At 47.1% G+C, this 10,513-nt stretch overlaps 1 pseudogene across 1 annotated transcript; it reads right to left on the bottom strand.

Annotated features, from left to right (window-relative positions):
* Positions 1-294: 294 nt before the first annotated feature.
* On the bottom strand, positions 295-9,832 carry LOC101060274 (uncharacterized protein CXorf49-like; annotated as a pseudogene). Its single transcript, XR_007068264.1, has 7 exons — positions 8,930-9,832; positions 8,243-8,399; positions 7,623-7,699; positions 7,310-7,349; positions 1,157-1,165; positions 564-605; positions 295-458 (listed from the first exon to the last, which is right to left on the bottom strand). The product of XR_007068264.1 is annotated as an uncharacterized protein CXorf49-like (transcript).
* Positions 9,833-10,513: the final 681 nt, after the last annotated feature.

Below are 10,513 nucleotides of genomic sequence, written 5' to 3'. Positions count from 1 at the left end.
GGGGACCTGTGAGACCCCAAAGTAGGAGGAAAAGAGGATGGACCATGAGCAAGGTGTGCCGGGGAAAGGCAAGAAATGCTGCTGTGGCCAGGCAGGGCCACCAAAGCACCTAGGCCCAGGGCACTATGGTGAGCCTGAGTGCAGGGCTGTTGCTCAGAGGCCGGCTCAGGCGACCCCCAGGGAGTGGGCTCACCACTCAGCACTAGGGTAACTGCTCTTCAAGGGCCAGGGAACACAGCAACACCCTGCACCCCCCAACACTCCCAACAATCACAGGGCAGACCACATACCACAGAATATGAGAACGACTTTATTGGAAACTGCTTTGGGAAGGGGGCAAATGCAGCAGAAGAGCGGAAGCCCTGGCTGAAGAGGATACGGAAGGAACCCGTTTGGCTGCAGCTCCGGAGCTCCAAAGGTACCAGCTGCTCATCTTGTAGGAAGATGCTGGCTCCAACCTGTGAAACAGAGCAGCTCAGGGACGGGCCCCCAACCAGGGCCAGCCCACAGCCCTCTTAAGCTACCGGGATTGTGGGAAGGTGCATAATGTGTGCAACACTCACTTCAAAGGTCCTGGAACTTGTCAGTGAGGAACTGCATGGCCGCTGAAAGAGAGAGGCAGAAATGGGCACTCCAGACCCAGGGAAACAGAAACCCACCCCCTGCCCCAGTGGGGAACCACCTAGCCTTGCAACCCGAAACCCCACCAGCCCTGGGACTGACTCATCCACCCGTCACCTGAATTAAATGTGGAAATGCCTTGTAAGTGGGAAAGTGGTTCTCAGGTGTTGGGCCATCCCAGAACCGTTCAGAACATGTTTCAAAGACAGATAAGTCAGCCAGCAAGCAAACATCGTACAAGCCATATCAGGCAGCAGTTAAAGGAAAACACACACAGTGTCTCTAACCGTCCTAAGCGAAGGAGATCTCTGGGACTCGTGGACAAAGTGTACATGGAGTTCAGACGACACATTGCTGTCTGTGCACACCCCTAGCTGGAAAGGCACAGAAGGCTCCAGGGCCAGGCTTTCCTTGGTTCTCTTCCCCAGAGGAGTCAATCCCAGTGACGTTGCCTGCACCTGCAGCCCACCCTTGCCCTGGCACCTGCAGTAAGACAGTGCTGTCAATCCCTGCCCCAGCCATGGTTCCATTATACCTAGTTGGTCTCTAAGGTCCTCAGTTTTTTTTTTTTATTATTATTATACTTTAAGTTCTAGGGTACATGTGCACAACGTGCAGGTTTGTTACATATGTATACATGTGCCATGTTGGCGTGCTGCACCCGTTAACTCATCATTTACATTAGGTATATCTCCTAATGCTATCCTTCCCCCCTCCCTGACACCACGACAGGCCCCAGTGTGTGATGTTCCCCACCCTGTGTCCAAGTGTTCTCATTGTTCAATTCCCACCTACGAGTGAGAACATGTGGAGTTTGGTTTTCTGTCCTTGCCATAGTTTGCTCAGAATGATGGTTTCCAGCTTCATCCATGTCCCTACAAAGGACATGAACTCATCCTTTTTTATGGCTGCATAGTATTCCATGGTGTATATGTGCCACGTTTTCTTAATCCAGTCTATCATTGATGGACATTTGGGTTGGTTCCAAGTCTTTGCTATTGTGAATAGTGCCACAATAAACAACGTGTGCATGTGTCTTTATAGCAGCATGATTTATAATCCTTTGGATATATACCCAGTAAAGGGATCACTGGGTCAAATGGTATTTCTAGTTCTAGATCCTTGAGGGGTTGCCACACCATCTTCCACAATGGTTGAACTAGTTTACAGTCCCACCAACAGTGTAAAAGTGTTCCTATTTCTCCACATCCTCTCCAGCACCTGTTGTTTCCTGAGTTTTTAATGATTGCCATTCTAACTGGTGTGAGATGTTATCTCATTGTGGTGTTGATTTGCATTTTCCTGATGGCCAGTGATGATGAGCATTTTTTCATGTTTCTTTTGGTTGCATAAATGTCTTCTTTTGAGAAGTGTCTGTTCATATCCTTTCCCCACTTTTTGATGGGGTTGTTTCATTTTTTCTTGTAAATTTGTTTGAGTTCTTCGTAGATTCTGGATATTAGCCCTTTGTCAGATGGGTAGATTGTAAAACTTTTCTCCCATTCTGTAGGTTGCCTGTTCACTCTGATGGTAGTTTCTTTTGCTGTGCAGAAGCTCTTTAGTTTAATTAGATCCCATTTATCAATTTTGGCTTCTGTTGCCATTGCTTTTGGTGTTTTAGTCATGAAGTGCTTGCCCATGCCTATGTCCTGAATGGTATTGCCTAGGTTTTCTTCTAGGGTTTTTATGGTTTTAGGTCTAACATTTAAGTCTTTAATCCATCTTGAGTTAATTTTTGTATAAGGTGTAAGGAAGGGATCCAGTTTCAGCTTTCTCCATATGGCTAGCCAGTTTTCCCAGCACCATTTACTAAATAGGGAATCCTTTCCCCATTTCTTGTTTTTGTCAGGTTTGCCAAAGATCAGATGGTTGTAGATGTGCAGTGTTATTTCTGAGGGCTCTGTTCTGTTCAATTGGTCTATATCTCTATTTTGGTAGCAGTTCCATGCTGTTTTGGTTACTGTAGCCTTTTAGTATAGTTTGAACTCAGATAGCGTGATGCCTCCAGCTTTGTTCTTCTGGCTTAGGATTGTCTTGGCAATGCAGGCTCTTTTTTGGTTCCATATGAACTTTAAAGTAGTTTTTTTCCAATTCTGTGAAAAAACTCATTGGTAGATTGATGGGGATGGCATTGAATCTGCAAATTACCTTGGGGAGTATGGCCATTTTCATGATATTGATTCTTCCTATCCATGAGCATGGAATGTTTTTCAATTTGTTTGTGTCCTCTTTTATTTCATTAGTAGTGGTTTGTAGTTTTCCTTAAAGCGGTCCTTCACATCCCTTGTAAGTCAAATTCCTAGGTATTTTATTCTCTTTGTAGTAATTGTGAATGGGAGTTCACTCATGATTTGGCTCTCTGTGTGTTCTTGGTGTATAGGAATGCTTGTGATTTTTGCACATTGATTTTGTATCCTGAGACTTTGCTGAAGTTGCTTATCAGCTTAAGGAGATTTTAGGCACAGATGATGGGGTTTTCTAAATATACAATCAGGTCATCTGCAAACAGGGACAATTTGACTTCCTCTTTTCTTAATTGAATACCCTTTATTTCTTTCTCCTGCCCAATTGCCCTGGCCAGAACTTCCAACACTATGTTGAATAGGAGTGGTGAGAGAGGGCATCCCTGTCTTGTGCCAGTTTTTGAAGGAAAGCTTCCAGTTTTTGCCCATTCAGTATGATATTGGCTGTGGGTTTGTCATAAATAAAATAAATATTTTATTTATTTTATAAATAAAATAATGAATCTTATTATTTTGAGATACATCCCATCAATACCTAGTTTATTGAGATTTTTTAGCATGAAGGGGTGTTGAATTTTGTTGAAGAACTTTTCTGCATCTATTGAGATAATCATGTGGTTTTTGTCTTTGATTCTGTTTATATGATGGATTATGTTTATTGACTTGGAATGTTGAACCAGCCTTGCATCCCAGGGATGAAGCCAACTTGATTGTGGTGGATAAGCTTTTTGATGTACTGCTGGATTCAGGTTGCCAGTATTTTATTGAGGATTTTTGCATCAATGTTCATCAGGGATATTGGTCTAAAATTCTCTTTTTTTGTTGTGTCTCTGAGAACAGGCTTTGGTATCAGGATGATGCTGGCCTCATAAAATGAGTTAGGGAGGATTCCCTATTTTTCTATTGATTGGAAGTTTCAGAAGGAATGGTACCAGCTCCTCTCTGTACCTCTGGTATAATTCGGCTGTGAATCCGTCTGGTCCTAGACTTTTTTTGGTTGGTAGGCTATTAATTATTGCCTCAATTTCAGAGCCTGTTATTGGTCTATTCAGAGGTTCAACTTCTTCCTGGTGTAGTCTTCGGAGGATGTATGTGTCCAGGAATTTATCCATTTCTTGTAGATTTTCTAGTTTATTTTGTAGAGGTGTCTATAGTATTCTCTGATGGTAGTTTGTATTTCTGTGGGATCAGTGGTGATATCCTCTTTATCATTTTTTATTGAGTCTATTTGATTCTTCTCTCTTTTCTTCTTTATTAGTCTTGCTAGCGGTCTATCAATTTTGTTGATCTTTTCAAAAAACCAGTTCCTGGATTCATTGATTTTTTGAAGGGTTTTTTGTGTCTCTATCCCCTTCAGTTCTGCTCTGATCTTATTTCTTGCCTTCTGCTAGCTTTTGAATGTGTTTGCTCTTGCTTCTCTAGTTCTTTTAATTGTGATGTTAGGGTGCCAATTTTAGATCTTTCCTGCTTTCTCCTGTGGGTATTTAGTGCTGTAAATTTCCCTCTACACACTGCTTTGAATGTGTCCCAGAGATTCTGGTATGTTGTCTTGTTCTCGTTGGTTTCAAAGAACATCTTTATTTCTGCCTTAATTTCATTATGTATCCAGTAGTCATTCAGGAGCAGTTTGTTCAGTTTCCATGTAGTTGAGCAGTTTTGAGTGAGTTTCTTAATCCTGAGTTCTAGTTTGATTGCACTGTGGTTTGAGAGACAGTTTGTTATAATTTCTGTTCTTTTACATTTGCTGAGGAGTGCTTTACTTCCAACTATGTAGTCAATTTTGGAATAAGTGTGGTGTGGTGCTGAGAAGAATGTATATTCTGTTGATTTGGGGTGGAGGGTTCTGTAGATGTCTATTAGGTCCGCTTGGTGCAGAGCTGAGTTCAATTCCTGGGTATCCTTGTTAACTTTCTGTCTCGTTGATCTGTCTAATGTTGACGGTAGGGTGTTAAAGTCTCCCATTATCATTATGTGGGAGTCTAAGTCTCTTTGTAGGTCTCTAAGGGCTTGCTTTATGAATCTGGATGCTCCTGTATTGGGTGCACATATATTTAGGATAGTTAGCTCTTCTTGTTGAATTATGCAATTATGCAATTATGCAATGGCCTTCTTTGTCTCTTTTGATCCTTGTTGGTTTAAGGTGTGTTTTATCAGAGACTAGGATTGCAACCCCTGCTTTTTTGTTTTGTTTTGTTCTCCATTTGCTATGTAGATCTTCCTCCATCCATTAATTTTGGGCCTATGTGTGTCTCTGCATGAGAGATGGGTCTCCTGAATACAGCACACTGATGGGTCTTGACTCTTTATCCAATTTGCCAGTCTGTGTCTTTTAATTGGAGCATTTAGCCCATTTACATTTAAGGTTAATATGGTTATGTGTGAATTTGATCCTGTCATTATGATGTTAGCTGGTTATTTTGCTCATTAGTTGATGCACTTTCTTTCTAGCATCGATGGTCTTTACAATTTGGCATGTTTTTGCAATGGCTGGTACCGGATGTTCCTTTCCATGTTTATTGCTTCCTTCAGGAGCTCTTGTAAGGCCGGCCTGGTGGTGACAAAATCTCTCGGCATTTGTTTGTCTGTAAAGGATTTTATTTCTCCTTCACTTATGAAGCTTAGTTTGGCTGGATATGAAATTCTGGATTGAAAATTCTTTTCTTTGAATATTGGCCCCCACTCTCTTCTGGCTTGTAGAGTTTCTGCCGAGAGATCTGCTATTAGTCTGATGGGCTTCCTTTTGTGGGTAACCCGACCTTTCTCTCTGGCTGCCCTTAACATTTTTTCCTTCATTTCAACTTTGGTGAATCTGACAATTATGTGTCTTGGGGTTGCTCTTCTCAAGGAGTATCTTTGTGGCATTCCCTGTATTTCCTGAATTTGAATGTTGGCCTGCCTTGCTAGGTTGGGGAAGTTCTCCTGGATAATATCCTGAAGAGTGTTTTCCAACTGGGTTCCATTCTCCCCATCACTTTGAGGTCCAATAATCAGATGGAGATTTGGTCTTTTCACGTAGTCCCATATTTCTTGGAGGCTTTGTTCATTTCTTTTTACTCTTTTTTCTCTAAACTTCTCTTCTCGCTTCATTTCATTCATTTTGTCTTCAATCACTGATACCTTTTCTTCCACTTGATCAAATCAGCTGCTGAAACTTGTGCGTGCGTCACATAGTTCCCGTGCCATGGTTTTCAGCTCCATCAGGTCATTTAAGGACTTCTCTACACTGTTTATTCTAGTTAGCCATTTGTCTAATCTTTTTTCAAGGTTTTTAGCTTCTTTGTGATGGGTTCGAACATCCTCCTTTAGCTCAGAGAAGTTTGTTATTACCGATCATCTGAAGCCTTCTTCTCTCAACTCTTCAAAGTCATTCTCCATCCAGCTTTGTTCCATTGCTGGTGAGGAGCTGCATTCCTTTGGAGGAGAAGAGGCGCTCTGATTTTTAGAATTTTCAGCTTTTCTGCCCTGGTTTCTCCCCATCTTTGTGGTTTTATCTACCTTTGGTCTTTGATGACAGTGACGTACAGATGGGGTTTTGGTGTAGATGTCCTTTCTGTTTGTTAGTTTTCCTTCTAACAGACAGGACCCTCAGCTGCAGGTCTGTTGGAGTTTGCTGGAGGTCCACTCCAGACCCTGTTTGCCTGGGTATCACCAGCAGAGGCTGCAGAACAGCAAATGTTGCTGCCTGATCCTTCCTCTAGAAGCTTCTTCTTAGAGGGGCACCTGGCTGTCTGAGTTGTCAGTCGGCCCCTACTGGGAGGTGTCTCCCAGTTAGGCTACTCGGGGGTCAGGGACCCACTTGAAGAGGCAGTCTGTCCGTTCTCAGATCTCAAACTCCCTGCTGGGAGAACCACTACTCCTTCAAAGCTGTCAGACAGGGACTTTTAAGTTTGCAGAAGTTTCTGCTGCCTTTTGTTCAGCTATGCCATGCCCCCAGAGGTGGAGTCTACAAAGGCAGGCAGGCTTCCTTGAGCTGTGGTGGGCTCCACCCAGTTCGAACTTCCCAGCTGCTTTGTTTACCTACTCAAGCCTCAGCAATGGCGGATGCCTATCTCCCAGCCCCCTACAGTTCCATCTCAGACTGCTGTGCTAGCAGTGAGCGAGGCTCTGTGGGCATGGGACCCTCTGAGCCAGGCGTGGAATATAATCTCCTGGTGTGCTGTTTGCTAAGACTGTTGGAAAAGCGCAGTATTAGGGTGGGAGTGTCCTGATTTTCCAGGTACCATCTGTCATGGCTTCCCTTGGCTAGGAAAGGGAATTCCCCGACCCCTTGTGCTTCCCGGGTGAGGTGATGCCCCGCCCTGCTCCATGGGCTGCACCCAGTGTCTGACAAGCCCCAGTGAGATGAACCCGGTACCTCAGTTGGAAATGCAGAAATCACCCGTCTTCTGCATCACTCATGCTGGGAGCTGTAGACTGGAGCTGTTCCTATTCGGCCATCTTGGAACCTCCCCTCAGGTCCTCAGTTTTCCTCTGCAGCAGGATGCACTAGACCAGCAGACACTGGAGGAAGAGAAATGGTTAGTCCCTTCTGGCCTGCTCTCTCACCATCCTCCCTGTCTCTCCCAGACCTTACAGCCCCCATGGTCTGCAGCCCAGTGGTGAGGTGGGTTGGCACAGAGCCCTCAATGGAAAGGAGGCATCCACTCTCCATGGGGTACGGAAGTTGGAGGTGGGAGAGACGCAGAAATCAGTTAAACTGGACATGGATCCCACCATCTAGTGTGGACCCGGATTACTATGATCCACACAAAGCATTACCTGAGGACAGCCCTGGGCTCCTGGGGGCTGCTGCTGCCTTTCCAATCTTGGGGGATGGACAGGCAGCTGCTGGTCACCTGAAAGAAAACACAAAATCCAGCTTCTAAGCCTCTGAGTGAGGTGGAAAGGGCCTAGCAGGGTCCAATGTGAGGCAGCATTACCCTGTGCTTGCAACACATTGCCCCTGCTCTGCCCAGCAGCTCCAACCCTCCCTCTGGGACTGTCTTCCCTGTTCCCCAGTGTGAGTCCATCTGTACCTGTGGCCCACTAGCATTGTGGCTCTGGGTAGGATGCCAACAGCGGGGCAGCCACAGGCAGGCCCTGGGAGGAGCAGTGTGGCTGAGCAGGACTTAACAGAAAAGGGCTCAGTACTGCTGAAAGTCTCTTTCCAGAGCTGGAGTTTGGGGTGGGGCTCCAAATCACCCCCCACTGCACAAATCCCACTCAGAGAGGGCGATGTGCCTTCAGGCTAGCCCTGTGAACCCTGCATTTCCCTTGGGACAGCTGCCTGGGTGGGCAGGGAAGTCCGGGAACAAGGCTGAGCTTCCAGAAGCGACAGAGCCAGAGGTTTCACTCCCGTCCTCTCTCCCCGCCAAGCCTATCAAACCCGCAAGACTCACTGGAGAATGCACGGTGTCAGGACACAAGGCGTCTCAGGCTCAATGCTAAGGGCTGTGAGGTTCCTGGAACTTGGGGAGTTCTGATGGTGGAGTCGCCACTGCTGCATTCTCCACAACTCACGGACAGGGAAATCAGCTGGGGCTTCTCTTTGGGAAACTAAAACAGAAAGTTCTGAGTTGGGCTGGCAGTGGAGGCTGGCAGTAAGTACAAGTGAGGAGGGGTTGTGTTAAGGTGGAGACTCCAGACTAATCTCATTAGCACTTTCTCCCTCAGTCAGCTCCAAGACAGGAGAGCTTGCGTAATAGCTAGGGAAGGAGGAATTGGGAAGTTGATGAGTCTGGACGCCCAAGCTTTGTGCCCCACACATTAAGGAGTCCCCTGATCCAAACCAGCTGCCACCCCTGTCTTCCATCCCAGCTCCTCTCTGGGGGCAGAGCCTGGACAACTGCAGAGTGTCCAGAGCCGGTCCTGGCACACACCAAGTGCTCCCTTTAATGTGTGCCCCTATGAGGAGAACCCCAATCGGTCATCCTAGTGTCCCTGGGCTCCCGATGACAACCTGTGAGCAAGGGATAGAGAGGGCATGGGTGGGTGCTGGAGGAGAGGTGGGTGGGGGGAGACAGAGGAGAAAGAGTAGGAGGAGAGCAAGGAGGAGAAGGAGGAGTGTGCGAAGAGAATCTACTCACTTGGGCCCTTGGGACCTCATCTCTATTTGGATCATTATCTTCTCTGGCCGCAGCCTGGGACTCCCTGGTCTTCCTTCCTGCTGGTTTCTTCCCAGGGCTGCTGTGCTTGGGCTCCTTGGGTCTCGCAGACTTCCCCAGGAGCCCCACACTGGACACTGGTGGGAAGCTGGCCGGATCAGGTGGAACTGCTGAGAGTCTCTGCCCCCAGGCAGGAAAGGCTCCCCGCAGGGCCAGTTCTGGTGCACCCTCTAGGGATTTCTTCTCCTGGGCCACCTTCCTTCCCAGAATGCCCCGGGGTAGGGGCCCTCTAATGGCAACTCCTGAGCAACTGGGCCTGACCCCCCTCTTTCCCCACACCATGCTCTGCATTTTCTTCAAGGAAGACGTGTCCAGCTCTCCCACGGCCGGCCTCTCCATGGCTGGGGTGAGTCTGCGGGGAGGAGAGGTCAGGAGAGGTCCCTGAACCTGAAGGTAACTCTCCCTGCGGTGGAAACTGGGGCGTCTGCAAGTGTCTGCTGGCTTCTTGGGGCTTCCGGGCTTGGCCTGGATTCCTTCTTTGGTGAAAATGATCACCCTGATCAACGGTAAGTCGCTGCACTCATCTCCGGAATCAGAGTCTTGGGTAGACAGCCCTGCGGGCCCTTCCTCGGAGGGCTGCTGGGGATCCACGCAGATGCTGCGTCTCCTCTTCAAGCCCCTTTCCGGGTTCTCTCAGGCTGGGCCTGTCCCAGGACCAGTGAGGTGGAGAGGGCCGACGAAGTTCCTCCGCTGCCATTTCCCCGGGCTGGGGCCCAGCACACCTCTCCCACTGGGACCGACCTCCAGGTCTGCCCCAATGTCAGCGGACCCTTTGGCAGTGATGCCTTCTAGGGACAGTTGTCCCTGGATGCTGGGCGGTGGCATGACTCACTGCGTTTTACCTGTAACAGCTTTGGGTAGCTCACAGTCAAGGCTCACAGGGAGGCTCACAGTCAAGAAGCAGGGGTTTTAGGTTTGTTTCTGCTAGTGCTGTGAAAAACACCATTGTCGATTTCCTAGGGACTCACTGCATTGAATGTGTAACAGCTTTGGGTAGCACCTATGTGTTAACCGTCTTCCCGTCCGTGAACACAGGATGTGTCTCTATTTTTTGGTCTTCTGCCTGTTTCATCAGTGTTTGATCGGTTTCAGTGTGCACACCTTTCACCTCCCTGAATAAACGTATTCCAAGGGTTTTATTCTTGGCCTGATATTCTAAATATGTTGGTTTCCCGGGTGTCTTTTTGGGATAGTTTGTTGTTCAGGCATAGAAAAGCGAGAGATTTTCGCATGTTGCTTTTCCATTCCGCAACTTTGCTGACTTTGTCTATTGGTTTTGATCGTTTTTTGGTGCAGTGCACATCAGGGTTTTCTCTATGTGACTTCATGCCATCAGCAAGCAGAGATAATTGAGCTTCTTACTGTCTAGTTTGGCGCCTTTTATTTCTTTTTCTTACAACACATGACCAAATCGACACGTGGTTGTGTGTCCCGTGTGTGTGCATGTGTGCGCGTGCGTGTGCGTGCACGCATGCACGCACGCATATGGGCTGGTGCCCATGTATG

The sequence above is a fragment of the Homo sapiens genome, chromosome X, assembly GCF_000001405.40.
Source record: "Homo sapiens chromosome X, GRCh38.p14 Primary Assembly".
NCBI classification, from domain to species: domain Eukaryota; kingdom Metazoa; phylum Chordata; class Mammalia; order Primates; family Hominidae; genus Homo; species Homo sapiens.
Note: the sequence above shows the minus strand (reverse complement) of the source record. Positions and strands in the feature narration are given on the sequence as shown.